At 43.1% G+C, this 20,745-nt stretch overlaps 1 protein-coding gene across 31 annotated transcripts in view, besides 3 other annotated features; it reads right to left on the bottom strand.

Moving 5' to 3' along the window:
* The window catches only part of TRIM2 (tripartite motif containing 2), a 187,155-nt gene that overhangs the window by 94,874 nt on the left and 71,536 nt on the right, over nt 1-20,745 (bottom strand). The window contains exon 2 of one of the 31 annotated variants that reach the window (NM_001375516.1): nt 6,487-6,574. The exons of the other annotated variants lie outside the window; for them this stretch is intronic. The gene's annotated coding sequence lies outside the window, so the exon portion shown is untranslated. The remainder of the gene's footprint in view (nt 1-6,486; nt 6,575-20,745) is intronic. 31 annotated transcript variants of the gene reach the window in all.
* Nucleotides 2,878-3,378: an enhancer, noted in NCBI's record as "H3K4me1 hESC enhancer chr4:154162218-154162718 (GRCh37/hg19 assembly coordinates)". NCBI's record gives its function as "activates a minimal SCP1, AML or CMV promoter by ChIP-STARR-seq in naive H9 embryonic stem cells {active_cell/tissue: H9 hESC(naive)}" and the evidence as "EXISTENCE:reporter gene assay evidence [ECO:0000049][PMID:30033119]".
* Nucleotides 4,656-5,155: an enhancer, noted in NCBI's record as "H3K4me1 hESC enhancer chr4:154160441-154160940 (GRCh37/hg19 assembly coordinates)". NCBI's record gives its function as "activates a minimal SCP1, AML or CMV promoter by ChIP-STARR-seq in primed H9 embryonic stem cells {active_cell/tissue: H9 hESC(primed)}" and the evidence as "EXISTENCE:reporter gene assay evidence [ECO:0000049][PMID:30033119]".
* Nucleotides 5,156-5,657: an enhancer, noted in NCBI's record as "H3K4me1 hESC enhancer chr4:154159939-154160440 (GRCh37/hg19 assembly coordinates)". NCBI's record gives its function as "activates a minimal SCP1, AML or CMV promoter by ChIP-STARR-seq in primed H9 embryonic stem cells {active_cell/tissue: H9 hESC(primed)}" and the evidence as "EXISTENCE:reporter gene assay evidence [ECO:0000049][PMID:30033119]".

Here is a 20,745-nt window from a genome sequence, read left to right as displayed (position 1 = left end):
AATTAAAAGAAGAAGAAGAAGAAGAAGAAGAAGAAGAAGAAGAAGAAGAAGAAGAAGAAGAAGAAGAAGAAGAAGAAGAAGAAGAAGAGGAAGAAGAAGAAGAAGAAGAAGAAGAAGAAGAAGAGGAGGAGGAGGAGGAGGAGGAGGAGGAGGAGGAGGAGGAGGAGGAGGAGGAGGAGGAGGAGGAGGAAAGAAGAGGAAGGAGAAGAGAAGAAGGAGGAGAAGAGGAAGGAGAAGGAAAAGGAGGAGAAGAAGAAGGAGGAGAAGAAGAAGAAGAAGAAGAAGAAGAACAAGAAGAACAAGAAGAAGAAGAAGAAGAAGATGGCAGTGGCACAGTAGCTCATGTGTGTAATCCCAGCACTTTGGGAGGCTGAGGCAAGAGTATTGCTTGAAGCTAGGATTTCCAGACTAGCCTGGGCAACATAGGGAGACCCCATTTCTACAAAAAAATTTAGAAATTAGCAGGAAGTGATGGCGCATGCCTGTGGTCCCAGCTACTTGGGAGGCTGAGGCAGGAGGGTCACTTGAGCCCGGGAGGTTGAGGCTGCAGCAAGCAGTGATTGTGCCACTGCTCTCTCTCCAGTCTGGGCAATAGAATGAGAGATCCTGTCTCAAGGGGGGGGGGAAAAAAAAAAAGGAGGGGGAGGAGGAAGGAGAATAAGAAACCACATATTATCCATGCCTAGCCATTTTTACTAGATAAAGAATTTGCTTATCTAGCCTGATTGACATGTTGAACTGTCCTCAAGGTCAGATGTCACAATAATACCCTCTGACTTAGTAAGGGCTCTCCTCTGGGAAGAACATGGCCCAGGTACAGATGTCTCCATCCTTAATAGTTTGAGTCATAGATAACAGCTGGCTGCCTATCAGGTTGCCACTTGGTTTTAACTACTATCTGCTGAAGAAAGAAAGCAAGTCTATTACCTGAGACTTCTGTCAAAAGCAAAAAGTGAGGATCTGGGATCTAGCAAGGATGTAACTGCATCCAGTGCTCCCCATCCCTAGCCATGAAGAAGCAAAGCCCACAGTCAAGGAACCTGGCACTGCTCTTCGTCTTTGCCCTGCCACATGGCACAGCACTGGTACTCTCTCAACGAAAAGAGTCACCCCTTCATGTGGATCTTCAGTTTTAAACCCAACAACCTGAATCAAGGGCATAAACTCCATCACCTTCTCTATCACTTTCCAATTGTGTGGGGGGCTTCAGTTCAGTTTGGCGGTACTGATAGGAAGCTTGGGGGCTCCACCCTAGCCTCAGGCCTACCTCCTAGTCCACTTCCCTCCTTGCCTTGGCAGGGCCTCTCCACCAGTAATGAAGCAGGAAGGCAGAAGACTGTCATCCTTTCATAGAATCAGAGGTGTGTTTGAAGTTGGAAAGGACCTTGGAGGTGACAGAGTCCTGTGGTTTTAAAGCCATGAAATCCTTTCTCTAGAGAGCTGCCCGGGCCCTGGGGCCCCTGCCAACATGCTCACCTCCCACTCATGCTGCCTCCACCCCCGCCCATCTCTTCAGGACACCTGGTGCTCAGTGGAGATATCCAGTTTGATCACCATTGTATAGACAAAGAAACAGAGAGCTGGGGAGGTGATTTGATCCCAGCCCCCACCATGCCTTACAACCTGCAAGTGGCAAAGCCATTCGCAGATCTCAGGCCTAACTCCGAGTGCCTGCTGCTCTCCATCTGCCCCAGCGTCCTCTCTTTACAGGCAGACCCAGGGAGCTGGAGGTCTGTGCAGGCTGCCTGAGTTTCTTTACAATTTCAGTAGTTCTGTCGAGCCTGTTCCACAACAGACACAAATGGGAATACAACAAGCAAAGGTCTTGCTAAGTGAGACTAGAAAACGATGCTGAGGAATAGCAAATAGCTCTCATGCTGCAGCTGGTCTGCTTGAAGAGTTAATGGTTAAGAGTTTATAAATATGCAAACACCAAGGTCGAACAGCAGGAGTTCCCAAGATAGCAGAGAAACAGGAACCTACCACAAAGGATTATGGTACTAAAAGGTTAAAAATCCGCCCATCCACATGGCAAAGGGCAGGGAATAAATAAACCACGACATCCTGTTAGAGGGGGATTCACAGAGAAGGCAGACTCCTGGGAATAGGAAAGAAAAAAAAAAAAGATACAAGACAAAATAGACCAAGGCTAAGTACCAACTTTGTGTAGTTAAGAATCCGCATATCCTCGGAGTGACCTTAACAATAAAAATCCAACACTAAAATAAACATGTAAGAGCGGAGTTACATCATTAGCAGTTGTGCAGACTGTTATGAAGCCTTTTAATCCGGTCAAATTGGTGAGCAGGGTGAAGTGATAAAAGCACACAGATTTATTCAAAGGACCCACGTGGTTGGCATCAGATGGCCAGCATGTTCCAGCACCTTGCCTGCCCCCTGTTCCATAATGGGCCTCAGTAGAATTCCCATTCTATTTTTAATTAGCTATTAACACATGTTTGTTTGCCCCCAGAAATGGGAAAACCCAATCTTCATTTAAACTTAGACTATAAAAGTTATTCATTATAAAAACAGGTTTCATTTCTATTTTTCTGTTTACTCTAATGGCCAGTGCTCTCCTAGCAGCATCCTGGGACCTTTATCCGGCATACGTGTGGCCTCTCCTCCGTTCTCTCTGTACTGTTTCTGGCTTTTCAAGAATCTGTGCACCCGTTTCCTCAGGTCGAAATTCTGAGATAAGTTCAGAAAAGGAGGCCGCCTTGTTTTAGTTCATGGCTAAATGAATGGATCTTCATGAGCAACGAGGCGCTCTTAATGCAAGGTTCCCGCTCCTCCTAGCCCTGCTGTTGCTCCTGCTCCCTGGGTTCTCTGCTCCTGGGTTCTCTGCTCACATGCTCAAATGCTGCCTCCTCTCTGAGGCCTTCCTAACCCTCCTGACTTAAGTGGGTGTGCCCCTTTGTTATGTATCACTCTGCCCCCTTTGAATCCTTCATGGCAGTTGTCACAGTTCGTAAAGGAATATTTGTTTGTTTAGTTAGAGGTGTCTCGCCCACAAACCTGTGACCTCCATCGGGGAGGGGGCAGGACCATCCCCCAACGATGGTGCAGCACAAATGCAGTCTTGGCACATGGCTTCCAACAATGTGCGATGAGGAAGGACTGGGTGTCCAGCCTGCCTAGACATTAGCCAGAGCTGTGTGATCAACGCTGCTCTGGAGAACACAGCCTCCTAGACCAGGTACTCCTGTGAGACACCTCAGAACTACTTGTTATGATCGGACATCTGCTAAAGATCCCTTTGAGCTCTTGTAGAAGGGATCTGTTAGGTGTAAGCAAGATCATCTTAACCTACTTAAGAGTGACACATACTCTACAGGAAAAGGTTTTTTTGTTTGTTTGTTTTTCTGAGAGGGAGTCTCGCTCTGTCACTCAGGCTGGAGTGCAGTGGCGCAATCTCGGCTCACTGCAACCTCCGCCTCCCAGGTTCAAGCGATTCTCCTGCCTCAGCCTCCGGAGTAGCTGGGATTACAGCTGTGCGTCACCACGCCCAGCTAATTTTTGTATTTTTAGTAGAGACAAGGTTTCACCATGTTGATCAGGCTGGTCTCAAACTCCAGACCTTGTGATCCGCCTGCTTCGGCCTCCCAAAGTGCTGGGATTACAGGCGTGAGCCACCACGCCCGGCCAGGGAAACGATTTTAATATACTTACTGAAAATATTCTCCTCCAGTCATTGAGGTATGCTTTATAATATATTTACATGGTTATATGGTTATTGGATACATGCAAATACTGGAAGTAATAAAATTAAAACAACTGTTTAAATATTCTGTAGTTAACTCTTGCTTTTTCATGTATTCTGAATTCATGAGCTGTTAAAATCTGGAGAGCCCTAGAAGCGTAGGTAGTAACCTTCTACTGATAATAGAAGCAGTGTAGGAAAAGACACCATTTACCCTAAACTAAGTCCTTTCACAGTGGCTGAAGGTAGTCTAATTACTAAACATTATTTGATTTTTGTTTTAAGTAGGAGAAAAATATTTACTGTTTATGCAAATATGTAGTATAAACTGTGATACAAAACCTCTTCCTTCCAACTGGGAGTCTGAAAACAATATTGAAAAGAAAACACTACCAAATAAGATATTGTGTCTTACTTTTATTGCCTGGCTTCAGGTATTTGCAATATTATTAAAGGAAAACATTTTCAAACATAGTCTACCAATTCTTATGCACAGTTTGGCAGCGATAATCTTTTGTATTTAAACCAAGTAAGGAATTGTGGGTATGAGTATGATATTCAGCCTTTATTAGGGATCCTACTTACTGCTGCAGAAAGTTAGGATGCTGGCCAGGCGTGGTGGCTTATGCCTGTAATCCCAGCATTTTGGGAGGCTGAGACGGGTGGATTGTTTGAGCCCAGGAGTACGAGACCAGCCTGGGCAACATGGTGAAACCCTCTCTCTACTAAAAATAGAAAAATTAGCTGGGCGTGTGGCGCGTGGATGCAGTCCCAACTACTCGGGAGGCTGAGACAGGAGAATTGCTTGAGCCTGCCTCCCAGGAGGCGGAGGTTGCAGATAACGCCACTGCACTCCAGCCTGGGTGACAGAGCGAGACTCCATCTTACAAAAAAAAAAAAAAAAAAGAGAAAGAAAGTTAGGATGCTGTCATGCATAGACATTTCATATTGCTCGAAAATGTTGTTTCTTATTAAGGCAAAGACGAACAAAGGAGACATGTATATACCTAATAAAAGATGTTATGTGTTGAAGAGAAAGGAGAACAAGAAAGGCAAGAGAGAAGAAGACAGAACGAGAAGAAAACCTGGTGCAGGCCACTTACTTCTAACATTCATGTATTCATTCATTTATTCCACTTTCATGCAATGATGATGCAACTGCTTACTAGACACAAGGCACTTTTACACTAAAGGGGATGTGAAGCAGTATCATGGTGATTGCATTCTTTAACACTTACAAATAGAGGATAACTTTCTCTCTTAGTTAGAAAGGAATAGAAAGAAAATAACAGAAAGGCAGAGAGAGAGAGAGAGAGAGAGAGCACTATCTTTATGATAAAATCTCCAAAACAATTCTATCAAAGCCAGAGTTCTTTTTTTTTTTTTTTTGAGACGGAGTCACGCTGTGTCTCCTAGGCTGGAGTGCAGTGGCACGATCTCGGCTCACTGCAAGCTCTGCCTCCCGCGTTCACGCCATTCTCCTGCCTCAGCCTCCCGAGTAGCTGGGACTACAGGTGCCCGCCACGACGCCTGGCTAATTTTTTGTATTTTTAGTAGAGATGGGGTTTCGCTGTGTTAGCCAGGATGGTCTCGATCATCTGACCTCGTGATCCACCCACCTCGGCCTCCCAAAGTGCTGGGATTACAGGCGTGAGCCACCACGCCCGGCCGCCAGAGTTATTTTCTAACTAAGGAGACTGAGCACTAATCCTGTCAACAAGGCCTCAGCCACCTCTCATGATCTTATCTAACCCTAATCACCTTCCAAAGGCTCCGTCTCCAAATACCGTCACAGTGGGGTTAAGCCTTCAACATATGATTTTGGGGGGATTCATGAACATTCAGTCCATAATAGAGAGCCCTTAGGTTTCTGTACAAGACAGTCTGTCTCTTCTGTCTCTGTGACCCCATCTCCTGGCCTCTTGCAGTGACTTAAAGCATCCAAACCTCTTCAAGTGCTGGACATGCTGCAATTCCATGACCCAATCACAGGACATTTAAGCACAGCAGGTCTAGTGCATGCGACTGGAGCTGGAATTGCTACATTTCTTGGCTCCAGGCTTGTTGCCTTACAACAAGTCTTCTTTAAAAGACTTAAAATGCACTCATTCTATGCCTCCAGAGAATCCTGGGTTATTCCAGTTCTCTCTTTTTCTTAAACCGTTATACCTTTATACATGCTTTTCCTCTCCCTGGAGTCCAGTCCTTTCTTCCCTTGCCAGAGATTCATACGATGCTTCCCAGGGCCAATCTCAAAAGTACTTAGAAGTCAATTTTTGGTCATTGCCAATATATTCTACATGTCTCTCCTGTCTCCAGTAAAGGAATGTGTGATTTTTCACAACCGCTAATTCATTACCTTTACCTCCATGAACTTTGCTTGGGTACAAATTGTGAAATGTGTGATGTCATGTGTCATGCTTTATTAATTTGGAGGTTAGTACTTAACGAAACATGTAAACAACTGAGAACTTGCAAATCTGCCCTAAAAATGATGTGTTAATTGGCTTATGGACTGGTTTCTAAGCATTGCTTGGAGGGTGGACTGACACACACAGAAGCCACTGTCACCATCACCTTCAAGCTCACCCTTACCCAGGGGTTAGATAGGGAGAGGGGCAGAAGGACAAATAAACAAGAAGGCCCAAATTCCTGGGCCCTTTTTCTTGGAGGTAAGAGGTTCAGGTTCAAAGATGAAAGAAACTGAGCTTTGGTTCACCTGGACTCAGAACTGGCTCCTGAGGTCATGCCACTTCCACTCCCCACAATGGCAGGTCACTTACCACACACTCCCACAGAAGCTTTCAAATGACTAGCGAAGGTGTAAGTCACAGAGGGAGGGAGCTGGAGAGCATACTACCAATGGATCTTCTGTTTTTTTGAAAAAAAGATACAATTAAGTTGTAATATTTGTATAATATTTGTATAACCATTTGTATAACCATTCATAGATGTCCTGACTTTGATAAAGTAGAAAGTATGTATGTATACAACTACCACTCATAAATGTGTTTATGTATTTACATTTTCACATTTCATATATTTTGACTCTTTTTTTTTTGAGTCGGAGTCTCGCACTGTCGCCTGGGCTGAAATGCAATGGCGCAATCTCAGCTCACTGCAACTTCCGCCTCCTGAGTTCAAGTGATTCTCCTGCCTCAGCCTCCTGAGTAGTTGGGATTACAGGTGCCTGCCACCACCCTCGGCTAATTTTTTGTATTTTCAGTAGAGACAGGGTTTCACTATGTTGGTCAGGCTGGTCTCAAACTCCTGACCTCGTGATCCGCCCACCTCAGCCTCCCAAAGTGCTGGGATTATAGGCATGAGCCACTGCTCCTGGCCTCTTGACTCTTTTTATTAGTATGCACACTCCTAAGTAACTAAGAGCCATAAACAATAGCATTAAAGGTATATTAGTACTAAAATTAATATTAATAATCAATTAATCAAAAATGCCTACAACAATGTGGTTATAATATGGTACTAATGTTTACATGCCTAATTGCTAAATGTAGCAACTCCAGCTCCAATTGCATGTAGAAGAAATATATTTAAGAGTCAAAAGACAAGTTAAACCTTAATTTCCCACACCCCAACCCCCAAAAGTTAAATTAGCAAGCAGAAAGCACAACCAAATCTAGCTGATTTTCAATTCTATTTGTTTCCTCAAACACTTATGAGAAAAGACAAGCAATGTAATGTCCTTGATACTGTAAGTTTACAAAGATGTTTAAGACATAATCCTCTGGCTGTGCGAGGTGGCTCATGCATATTACATGAGCACTTTGGGAGGCCCAGGCAGGAGGATTGCTTAAGCCTAGGAGTTTGAGACCAGGCCTAGGCAACATAGTGAGACCCCCATCTCTACCAAAAATTTAAAAATTAGCCAGGTATGGTGGTACACACCTATAGTCCCAGCTACTGAGGAGGCTGAGTTGGGAGGATCTCTTGAACCCAGGAGGTCGAGGCTGCAGTGAGCTGTGATTGTACCACTGCACTCCAGCCAAGGTGACAAGAGTGAGACCCTGTCTCAAGAGAAAAGAAAAGAAAGGAAAAAGAAAAGAAAAGAAAAGAAAAGAAAAAGACACAATCCTCAGACTCAAACAACTTGCCATAAAAAAACAAGTATGTAAAGAAACTGCTGTATAAAGGACAATCTTCTCCACAAGAAAAGTCCATAGTGGGTTGCTGTGGGATGCAAAGCAGAATTGAGGACAACTACTACTGTTTGTTTAAAAAAAGTAGATCACTAAAGGTTCTAGAATTGTCATGTGGTAGCATTTGAGAGGGCTTTAGTGGGTTTGTGGGGCTAAACAGAAAGAGCCAGCATGAATAGGCATACAAGGAAATGAGGTATGGGGCACAGTGAGGGAGTAAGGAGCCTAGTTTTCCATGGTATGAGGTACAAGGTGAGGATAAGTAGAAGAAAAGGCTAGAACATGCAATAGAAGCCATGTTGGGGATGGCCTTAACTGTATCCATGCATTCCCATGCTGCTATGAAGAAATACCCGACACTGGGTAATTTATAAAGAAAAAAAAGGTTTAATTGACTCACAGTTCTGCAGGACTGGGAAGGCCTCAGTAAACTTACAATCATGGCAGAAGGCACCTCTTCACAGGGTGGCAGGAGGGAGAATGAGTGCAAGCAGGAGAAATGCGAGATGCTTATAAAACCATCAGATCTCAAGAGAACTCTCTCACAATCATGAGTACAGCATGGGGGAAACTGCCCCCATGATTTGATCCCCACCGGATCCCTCCCACGACACATGTCACATGGAGCCCTCAGGAGACTTAGAATCTAGGGGGAAAGAAGGTAATCATAGTTTAGGTGGTCAAGAATTCTGATGGAGGTGAGCACAGGATGTTGGCAGGGTCCCGGAGGAGGTGACACTTGGGTTGAGCCTTGAGGGAGGAGTAGGGCTTGGTCAAAGGAAGAAGTGTGGAAAAGGTAATCTGATCAGAAGGAATAGCTGGTGCAAAACTGCAAAGCTCTTCAACAACCTGACACATTCAGGTCTGTAAGAAGCTCTAGAAAGAGGTGAATTGAGCCTTCTTTAAAAATGAAAAAGAATCACAGCCATTTATTAACTACTCTGTATGTGCTGGGTACTATTCTATACACACAAGAATTCATTTAATTCTCTTAACTTGGCGGGGCACCATGGCTCACACCTGTAATCCCAGCACTTTGGGAGGCTGAGGCAGGTGGATCACTTAAGTTGAGGAGTTCGAGACCAGCCTGGGCAACATGGTGAAACCTCATCTCTATGAAAAATACAAAAAATTAGGCAGGCATGGTTGTGCCTGCCTGTAGTCCCAGCTACTTGGGAGGCTGAGGCAGGAGAATTCCTTGAGCTCGGGAGGTCAAGGCTGTAGTGAGCCGTGATCATGCCACTGCACTCCAACCTGGGCAACAGAGCAAGACCTTGTCTCAAAAAAAAAAAAAATTATCTTAACTCTATGAAGCAGGCACAGCTTTTCCCATTTTACAGAGGAACAAACTGACTTTGAGTGCTTCAGAAATTTGCTTCTCAGAGTCACACAGCTGTCACCAATGATTAGTGACTTCAAGCCTACATCTTTCTGACTGGAAAACCAATTTGTATTAAGCCCTGAAGGATGGGAAAGAGTGAGTCATACAACAAAAAAGTGGAACAAGCATTCAAGGCAGAGGAAACCTGAAGACATATGTGTGTTAGTGGAGGAAGACCAACTAGAAGCAGTTTGGAAGCACCACATATGAAGTACACAGCTGGGGGCAGCAGAGGGGTCTGTGTGCTCGAGGGTGGGACAGGGCACGGGGAAGGTTAAGAATTGGAGAGAGAAAGTGGCAATTAATTGAGTTCCACTTTGGACATGCTGAGTTGGAGATGCATGTAGAACAACTGCCTGGAGATGTCAAATAGCTGCTGAGTTATAGTTCTAGGCTCAGAAGAAAGGTCTGGGCATTGAATAAAAATTTGACCTATAGATCTAGGCAGGAAAACAAATCATCATCACAAGCATTGACTGTTAACCAGGCACAGCACCTAATGCTACCTATGCATTTTCTGTTTAACACTCTCAACAGCCATACAGAGTAGGTAACTTATGAGCCTCATTTTACAGACAATGACTCTAAGCCACAAGGACATTCAGTAGCCTGCCTAGGGTCATAAAGGATCTGCATACTTCTACATTCAGTTTCCAAACTTTTGTGACTGAGATCCGCAGCAGAAATGTATTTTATGTTGCAGTCCAGTAATAGATACATATATTTCACTGAAACAAAGGTTGCATGAGATCACATTTAGCCCGATGCCCTCTGCTATTTCCTATTCTATTTCATTTTTCAGTAAACTGGCTGCAACTCACTAACTTGATTCACAACCCGCTCATGAAGCCCACAGTTTGAGAATCGCTATCCAACACCTTCTTTCCTCCCACCCCTGAATCACAGTGTGACTGCAAGGATAAAGGGAGATGCAAGCAACATCATAGATGTCAAGGAGAAAACTGCACTTCTGAGTGGTTGTGAGTCTTGAGCATAAAATGATGAGAATTCAATCTCTTCTGCCAAATAATGCCCCAAGGACATGTCTGTGGAAGCTAGCTCTTCCGCAGTGACTCATTTACACCTGTCAGGAGTATTTATGGGGATTGAAGCCATTATTGCTGCCAAGCTTTCTCACTGTATGGTGCAGGAAAAGATGCAGATGCACTTAACTTTGAAGAATTTTAAAGTTGTTAGTTCTAAAATTGCTATGGTATTACATTAGAGCAGGATTTGGGCACATATCCCAAAGCAAAGCAGCCCGGTGCCTGTACTCCCCTTGCATGTAATTCCTGCAAACAGTGATTGCAACAGGAAATCATACCTCCGTGGCAGAAATTATGCAATGCAACATTTAACATCTCTCTCAGCAGGAAATGGTTTTGCTGGCAGGAGTTTTGGAATTAACCATAAAAAGATATCATAGACCCTGAATGTATGCATCCATCCTTCCTTCTACTTCATAGGAAGAGAGGAAATGTTCCTTCCCACCAAAATTGAAGCATTCTCAGTGGCCCACCTGCCTCCCTACCACCTCCACGCCTCACTCCTTCAACCCTTTCCTCTTTAACACCATCATCTCCTCCTTTCCCATGGGTTTCTTCCTTTCTGACTTCAAATACACATTGGTTTCCTCTAAAAAAACAAAAAAGCACCTCAGCAACAAAGAATTTTGGGGGTGATATAATTGGTCCTATCTCAACAGTAGTCATGGTTACAGAACTATATTCATTTGTCAAAATTCACAGAATTGAACATCAGAAAAGGTGAATTTGACTGTAAGTAAAGTAATCAATATCTCAAAAAGAAAACCCCACAACTTTCCAATAAAAACCCCCCACACCATTTTCTAAATCCTGCCACCCTGTAATTATCATCTGACTTCCTTCCTTCCTTTCTTTGGCACTTTCTTTTCCCCATGTCCTCATTTTAGCTAAACCAAAGTCTTCTCCCAGTCGTCCCTCTTCTCCTCCCACCTTCTACTGGAAACTCTTTTTCTTTGGCTTTGGAAGTAGAGAACTTTACCATTTCTCCTCTACTTTAAATGCTTCTTATCCTTATTCTTAGCAATCTTCTAACTCCGGGAATTTGCCAAAACATCAAGCCACTGCTCTTCTCCTACATTCACTCACTCAGAGGCCGCACCCACTCTTGTGATTAGATGACTGCTGGAATGCATTTGACTTCCAAATCTATGTCTAGAGAGGGGGCAGCTGGCTTAGGTTTCCAGTGGCCCAGGGGACAGCTCCACCCGGCTCTGTCACCACCTCCAATTCAGCACCTGCAGCTCTGAGTCTCCCCCTGCTGCCTTTGCTAGCCACTCTCACTGGAGTGGCTGACCTTATCACTGGAGCTTCTCTCCCAGGGCCAGAAACCCTGAAGACACCACTCAGCCCCTAAGTCAGGTACAAAGGAGAAAGGAGACATGGGAATGTTCTGTAAACTGTTATGTTCTAGACTTAACGACACATTACCATTGCTACTACTTAAATCTTTTCAACTCTTCCTTTGAAATGTGTCTTGATTTTATCTACTTTTCTCCACCCCCGCCCCAACCTATGGCCTCTAGTTCCCTCCCTTCCTTCCAGCATATTCTGCATGCTGGGGTCAGTCCACTCTCACTAAAACACCTCTTTGCCTCTCACTGTGCTGGTCACGACTCAATTTTTTTTATTTTTGAAAATTTATTATTTATTTATTGTTTTGAGATGCAGCCTCACTCTGTCACCAGGCTGGAGCGCAGTGGCATGATCTTGGCTCACTGCAACCTCTGCCTCCCAGGTTCAAACGATTCTTCTGCCTCAGCCTGCCAAGTAGCTGGGACTACAGGCGTGCGCCACCACGACCAGCTAATTTTTGTATTTTTAGTAGAGACGGGGTTTCACCATGTTGGCCAGGCTGGTCTCGATCCATCTGCCTGCCTCGGCCTCCCAAAGTGCTGGGATTACAGGCGTCAGCCACCTCGCCTGGCTACTCATGACTCTTTAAAGGTGGCTGTTAGAGTTGAATTGTGTCCCCCTCCCTCCAAAAAGATATATTGATGTCTCCCAGTACCTCAGATTGTGACTGTATTTGGAAATACTACAAGTTGAGTATCTTTTATCCTAATGCTTGGGGCCGGAAGTATTTTTGGATTTTGGTTTTTTTTCATATTTTGGAATATGTGCAGATACTGACTGGTTGAGCATCCGCAATCCAAAAGACTGAAATCCGAAATGCTCCAATGAGCATTTCCTTTGAGCATCATGTCAGCACCCAAAATGTTTTGGACTTGGAGCATTTCAGATTTTTGGATTTGGGATGCTCAACCTGTACAGTGTAGGTCTTTAGGGAGGTAATCAAGTTAAAATGAAGTCATTAGAGTGGGCCCTAATCCAATATGACTGATGTCCTTACAAAAAGGGGGAATTTGGACACAGAGACAGGCATGGAGGGACGATTATGTGAAGACACAGAACACTATTTATAAGCCAAGGGAAGCGTGGGACAGCCGGATGCTAGGACAGAGGCATGGAGCAGATTCTCCCTCATGCCGCCACCCTTTAGAGCACCTAAGCATCAAGTCTGTATTTCTCCAATAGGCACTGAAGATCCTCTTTGATTCCACCTCCTTATTTCACCTCAATGCCCACGACTTCCTTGCCTAGACCTGCTCAGTCCCTCCTCCCATCAGATGTGTCTGGCTCCTAATCCCTGTCTGGAAAATGACTCTCCACCTTTGCTTGGGTTGTTCCCAATGCCCATTGTGCCCTTCCCACTTCCCTCTTCCATCTAAATCTTGCACATTCTTTAAGTTCTAACTTTAGTCCCTCTTCCTCAATTATATTATCCTTGATTTATTACCTTATTGTGTTCTCTCTCTTTTCTGAACCATCATTGTACTTAATGTCTGTATCATATGAGTTGACACTTGATTGTCTTGTTCACATGACTCCCTAATGGTTTCCTATGTGATATTCTTGGGTCTAGAGTTAAATTTAAAGTAAACAATCTCTATTGAAAACCACTTTTCCAGACACTTTCCTAGATTTGTTTTCTCAACAAAACATCCTTTCTTCTAGAGCTTCCCACAATTCTTGTATCCATTTATCATATGTCAACCAATCAAGTATACTTGAGCGTGTATTTTAGTGAGAAAGACATCCTAGGTGTGAGTCCTGACTCCCCCTTTACTGGAAAAGTCACTTGACTTCTTGGAAACTTAGTTTCCTCGCTTCTAAGATGTTACCTCTCAGGGACATTGTCAAGATAAGATGGAATTATTTCTGTGAAAGTGATTTTTAAACAGTAAAGCCTTGCTCAAATGAGAGGTTAAATCATTATTATGATCTCAGTTCCAAGTGAGCTCAGCTAGTTACCTGCTATGTTGATGAAATTATAGGCTTGAACCAAGTGAGCTGGTTCTTCTAGATTTGTGCCACAGGGGCCAGTAAATTTCATAACTAATAAAAATTGATAGGATGGATGGAGAAAACTACAAAGCATATCCTGGTGGGTCAACAGGGTTATCTTCATAAATAAAAGACAGATAGCATACTGTCACCTCAATCTCCCTTAAGGCATGCAGTATCCCAGATTCTCAGGAGAAACTGACAGTCCCCATATTTCCAGCTGTGGTACAATAAATCAACAAGGTAATATGTTATGCCTGAGACAAGTGTTTGTTTGGTGTGTTTTTTGTTTTTGTAACTGAATTCTACTGGTTTTGAGACTGAACATGGGCTGGGTGCAGTGGCTCATGCCTGTAATACCAGCACTTTGGGGAGGTGGAGGCAGGCAGATCGCTTGAGCCCAAGAGTTGGAGACCAGCCTGGACAGCATGTCAAAACCCTGTCCTGCAAAAAATATACAAAAAGTAGCCAGTCATGGTGGCATGCACCTGCAGTTCCAGCTACTCAGGAGGCTGAGATGGGAGGATCGCTTGAGCCCTGGAGGCAAAGGCTGCAGTGAGCCATGATCAAGCCACTGTACTCCAGCCTGGGCAGCAGAGCAAGACCTTGTCTCTTAAAAAAAAAAAAATAGTGTGGATGGCAAACGTATTGAGGCTGTAAGTACCGTAGCAGTCATCATGTGTAAAATTCAGAAAGCCAGGGCCTAGGCCCCTAGAGACTGAAAGACAGATCTAGGACACGGGCAGGGGTGTATGTGCCTTGCCTTCTTCTCTCAGGTTAGCCTGTGAACTCCTGTCCCCCTCGGCCCCCATCAATAGATAGTAGCTGAATGAACTGGCTGAATAAGGAAGATTGAAGACTAAACTCTGCAGAGGTAGAAAGACCTGGCAGTACTTGGTGAATGCATTTATCCAAGGGACTTGAACGAGAGAAAATGCTTAGAAAAAAAATCTAACGAAAGAAATGTATTTAGTTCTATCGAGATTTAGTTTTAGCATGGAGTATACTGTGTGCAATAAGCACCAAAGATGCCAAGAATATTTTGTACTGCATTACAAATGAAAACCAGCTTCCGTGCAGATGGGATTCAGAATTTCATACCCTGGCAAATCTGTCTTCCTTCTATTACAGAAACTACTTCAACTGTTCCAAGCAAATGCTTAATAATTATTTCCCCTTCTTGATGTTTAAAGGCTTTTTAACAAGAAAAATGAATTTGATTTCTAGTAGATACTGTTTAAAAATTCAGAATCTGGCCAGGTGCGATGGCTCATGCCTGTAATCCCAGCACTTTGGGAGGCCGAGGCAGGTGGATCACCTGAGGTCAGGAATTTGAGACGAGCCTGGGCAACACGGCAAAACCCTGTCTCTACCAAAAAATACAAAAATTAACCAGGCATGGGACCTGTAGTCCCAGCTACTTGGGAGGCTGAGGCAGGATAATTGTTTAAACCCGGGAGGCGGAGGTTGCAGTGAGCAGAGATCGCACCACTGCACTCCAGCCTGAGTGACAGTGTGAGACTCTGTCTCAAACAAAACAAAACAAGTCAAAACGAAACAAAAAAATTCAGAATATTTGTTTAAGTGAAACAATATATGTGGACTACAAGAAAAATGCTTATAGAGGAAATCCCTAAGAAATCGAATTTCTTTGTCCTTTAATGAAATTGTGTTAAAAATGAGTAAAATATACTTTCTTCTCCAAGGTCTGTAGCTTAAGCAGAGACTTTAGAGTAAATGTCACAAGAAAAACCAGCACTTTGCACAGGGCCCCACGTACCCTCACTCCCACCTCTTCCCTTTCCAGGCTCCCAGATCTTTTCCTGTTGTTTTAGTGGGTGGTTTGTGGTCTCTGAGTGGATTTTAGCCTTCAGTCATCGGTTGCTTTATACGTGAGGTTACTAGATTGAGACACCATTTGTGGGGGGAAAAGGATGAAGGATACTCAAAGGCTAATTGCTACTTGAAGGCAGAAAATAGGGAAAAACAGCAAAAAGACTGCAGTTAGCCTCTGCTCATCCTTCCTCTAAATAAATGGTCACTTGATTGTACATGACTATGACTGCCGCGTGACCTGGGGCAAAAGAGAACATTTATCATTGAAGGCTCATTTGCTGTACAGCGTGTGTGCCACAACAGATGGACAAAGCATTGTTTTTATAAGATGGAAAGCAGCATTGTAAGAAAGAATTCTGTTTAATGGTGGCAGGAGTCTGGAGACCATATTCTGTAACTGTTGAATTGAGTTTTGATTGCTGGCTTTGTTATTGGCTAAGATTGAGAAGCTAAAGATACCCAGTTATTGCCATTTGTTTTCTGCAGCAACCCAGATCCGAACATCCAGAATACCCTCTACGAAACTGTATAGATTAAGTGTTATCTTTTAGCGAGCCACATTTAGTTTTTCTCCCTGGAGTTACTTTTAAAGCTATTCAGGACAGCTCATCTTAGCCATCAGACCCACACATGGGGTAAAGTGGCTGAGGACCCATGGGTACTTCTGTTCTAGAGGTCTCAGGAAGTACTAAGTATAGGGCCAGGATTTGGGTGGTGAAGGAAATGGAGTGACAAGGATGATTCATACTTGGAAGGAGAGGAAGGACAGGGTGTCAGATGAAGCATCCACACAGTTGACAAGGGTGTTTATGGATAGAGAGTAGCTGATCCTGTGGCCTTCAGCCCATTTGGGTACCCTTTTATCCACTTTCTGTGGGTGACATCTCACTGGTCACGCTAAATAAGGGGATATCCAAAATGTTTACTTCGCATAAGAGGTTCACTTTTATAATCTCTTTCTTGGACTAACATGGTAATTATTTTGCCTTCCATAAGCAGAATCCAGTGCATTGGAGGGAACCCTGGACATATGCTGAACAATAAGGAGAGCCAGCTGCCCAATATCTGCAAGGAGATTGTTCACAGCCAATACCGAGGAGAGTACTAAACACTGAGATAGATTTTGCTGCTGCTAAGGCAAACTATTATAATCTTGAACTACAAAAAGCGGGGGAGGGTGTGGTCAGACAAGTTCCAGCCCTTCCCCTTCCCCCACCATGACTCTAGTTCACAATTTTAATTCCCAGGAGAATCACAACTGAAGCAGACTACCCAGCTGAAAAGAGAGACGTGCACCCTCCATTGTGTCCAATAGCTGAGGACATACGGGCAAGCTAACGAGATGCAAATCCCATTCAATGTGGCTAATGCCCTTTTTATCCCTAACCAAAGACCTAGAAAACTCATTCAATTTGGTGGTTTTCTAATATAGCTTCCACACCATCGTTGAATGTGCAACACTAATTTAAATAAATTGCATGTAGTCAGCAAAAGAGACAGTTCTGTCTTTGTGTAGTCTGAGAGGCTATTTTGGCGATTAAAGAGACCCGATCTCATCCTCTTAATTAAGGCAAAGCTCAAGCCTATCTACTATTCACTCTCAAGCAGTGTTTCTATGATGGGTTATTTTGGCGCTACCCAGGGCCACTGTTGAATTGTCTGGTAGCTGAGGAGAGGACATTTTAGGAATAGAACCGTGCACTGAACAAGAGTCTTGGGGTTAAGTAGCAAATGCCACTTCATCCAGGTAATGCTGAAAGAGCCTTTTACCAACACACCTTTCACTGCCAAAGGAAACAAATTTTAGGTTGGGGCCAACTTGATTCTCTCAGAAAGTGTTTGTAGCTGAACCACTGCAGAGGGTTCTACCACAGCCAGAGCTGATTTCCTCACTGAGGAAAGACTTGAGGAGCTCAGAGAACAGGAGGGAGAAGGATGCTCACTAATGCCTAAAGGTACCACCAGGACTTGAAAATTCCTTCAAGACTTGTTCTTTGCCTTTTAGGCTATTGTACTTTCCAGATCATAAGCAGGGGGCTCAGAACATAGTATTTGCTCAATAAATCCTTGTTGGCTAGCAGACTGGGGCATGGGCTTGAAAATTATCTTTCCTTTCTTCTACCTGATTGGGCAGAACATTCTAAAAGGAAACTTGTTCTAATCTTTCACATTTTTGGTCTTAGATCTCTCTTTTCAGGAGTCTTAATCTGAGAGGCTTTCCAATTTGTTTGCTTCCTGGTCCTCAAAGTCATCATCCCCGAAGGTCAGCAATGAGAGTACTAAAACGCTAGTCCTCATCCTAATGGGAGATAAGTAGGTCAGCAACTCTGTGCCTCTCTTAATATTTTAGGTTGGACCAATGACTGCATTAAACTAAAAAAGGCGTCCCTCAAACAGCAGACATTCTGAAACCTGAAAAACACTTACACTGAAGAGATGTCAGTTTAAAAGGGTATTCATCTCTCAAAACTCCAACTGCCTGCAGCATATTTCTACAAATTGCCCTTGTTCCAGAAGTCAGCATGTCTTAGGTTAGTTCGTTTTACTGCAGTTAAGACAGAAGCAAAACCTGTATCCACAGCTTCTATTTGAGCACTTCTAAACAGTCTTAAATTAATAAAGATGCTGACATATATGGTATTTATTTTAGACTCAAGAACACATTTTAGTCTCTTGGGCCAGCCCTTCTGCATAGACAAATTTCATCTACATATACAGTATATTATGAAAAAGGAAAATATTGAAAATTCTAGGGAGAGAATATTTCTGTTCAAGGATTAAGATGAGATTCAAAGGCAGGACATAGGCCAGGCACAGTGGCTCGAGCCTATAATTCCAGCACTTTGGGAGGCCAAAGCAGGAGGATTGCTTGAGGCCAGGAGCTCAAGGACAGCTTGGGCAACACAGTGAGCCACTGTCTCTACAAAAAATTTAAAAATTAGTCGGGTGTGGTGGCACATGCCTGTAGTCCCAGCTACTCGGGAGGCTGAGGTGGGAGAATAGCTTGAGCCCAGGAGTTGGAAGATGCTGTGAACCATGATTGTGCCACTGCACTGAAGTTTGGGTGACAAAGTCTCTAAAAAAATTAAAAAAGTAAAACCACAAACAACCAAAGGCAGGATATGCAAAAATAATATAGCGTTACATAGGAAATAACTATATTAGTAATACAAAATATTTGCCAACAAAAGCTCACTTTCTGAGATTTAATTTCCAGTAAACCCTCTAACCATACATAAAAGCTGAGTGTCTAGTAAATAGTGGCTCAAGGTCATGAAATTCACTCCCCTTAATTTCCTCTCTACCTATTTATCTCAAAGGTTGCACTTGCCAATTCTTTTAACCCTTAAACCAAATACTACCCATTTCAAAAGACCTGTCATTTTCTTCCAGAGAAAATACTAAATTAAACTCATAGGTGGACTTTTTCAGACATGCCAACTAACAGGTCAGGCTGAAGGTCTAAAATGTAAAAGTATAAGAAATAATGTTGGGACTAAGTATGATATTATGCCAGCCTTTGCCTCAAGCCTTTTAAGATAACATTCACAGAATAGCCTCTCAAACAGACATTCTAAGCAGGAAGTCTTTTCTCAAGAAACCAAAAAGGAAAACCATCATTGTTCCTGTCTTCATCATTAGTAGCAGCATCAAAAGCATTTGCCAGGTGCTGACCCGCCAGCATAAACTTTTAGTACCTGTACAAATCAAGCTAAAGCTGTCTTTGGGAATTTATAATCTAAGACATATTTGATATAAACCAAGCAGTGTCATTTTTCATGGAGTGGTGAAAGAAGGAGAAAGTTCTGATAATGTTATTGCACCAGGATTTCAGGGCTTCAAGATGTCATTTTCAAAGCTTCCTAGGGCCTTGCTATATTACCCCGTTGAGTTATCATCATTGAATAGGCCAAATTCTTACCAATCAGCACTAGGAGAGGTAGTGAGTAACTGCTGCTCAGAAAAGGCCAAGTAAACAGATCATTCCTGACACACAAAATAACTATCCAACCTCTTTCTAGAGTAGTCAATGGTCAGAAATTGAAAGGATAGAATTCAACCCAAGGACAGACTAAAGAAAAGGTCAGAGAATAAGATGTTAATTCTCACTGAGACTATCTAACCCATTTATATTTAGTGTCTTATAACAACTTCCTTCCATTTGTATTTAAATTTGAAGTAGAAATCAGGAAGCTGTGCAAGTCAGCATTAAAATGATGATGCAAGAAAAATATTCAAGATGTGAGTGTGATGCTTATTTTTGACAGATACAATGGAATTTCTAGTGGAGGATTTAATCGACATAGAATTTTCCAGGAAAATAAAGGCAGGAATTGGAAAAATGTTCTCAGGGAATACTGATAAGAGACAGTCATCTAAACAAACCTTGTCAGTGATGGTATCCTAGATTCCATGATCCAAAGTAGAGTTATGGTGGGTAGCTAAATGGGATTATACAGAAAAGGATAGAAAGAAAAGGGAGGCTGCCAGGAAAAGAATGAGTTAAAAGAATGAGTTAATGAGGGCAAATGGGATGTGGTGTTCTGTACCTAGCCCAGAACAGGCCAGATTACCTCACCTAGAAGACTTTTCATTAGTGTAGATGGCCCTGCCCAACTCAGCCCTAAGGGAATCCATATTTACCCTAAGGGAGAAGGGAGGTGGAGTTCATTTTAATTGATCCTTCATTGTTATATGAACCTAAGTTGGAAAGGGAAGGAAATGCAATGTGTATCACAAAGAATTTAATCAAGTACTTTCTATCTCTAGTTAAGGGTGAGGTAGTCAAAGCCTTCTGACTCACCCCTGCTCTTTTGTTTCTTGGAGCTGAAGGGCAGGTACCAGTTCTGCCAAAGATGAAATCAAGTGGAAATTTGAGAGGAAAGGTCACGTGGAGCTGGGAAGCAGTGGACCCAGCACAATACCTCCTCCCACCCCCTGGGAAAGGAACCCTCAATACAAGTTGTCAGGCAACAACTCTTAACTACATTCTAAAAATATTGATGTAAAATTTAATCTCCATTTTTAGAAGAAAACAATGAAAAAAGGCATAGATGTGCATACTGCTGCAAGAACAACCCCTCACACCCTAAGGGGCTAGCCTAATCTTTGGATGGCTGGAATTCTAAGTGCTCTAAAATTAACTCTTTAAAAGTCTTTGAATCTAAAGCTGTCTCTGTTCCATAAATTAAAGCTGGTGATTTCCCGGGAAAGCAAAGGGGCCTGGTGGAAGGCATCAGTTGCTCCATGGGGTTGGATTACAGGTCGGAACGAATT

This window comes from Homo sapiens, chromosome 4 (assembly GCF_000001405.40).
Source record: "Homo sapiens chromosome 4, GRCh38.p14 Primary Assembly".
In the NCBI taxonomy this organism is placed as follows: domain Eukaryota; kingdom Metazoa; phylum Chordata; class Mammalia; order Primates; family Hominidae; genus Homo; species Homo sapiens.
This window is presented reverse-complemented; position numbering and strand designations above follow the sequence as displayed.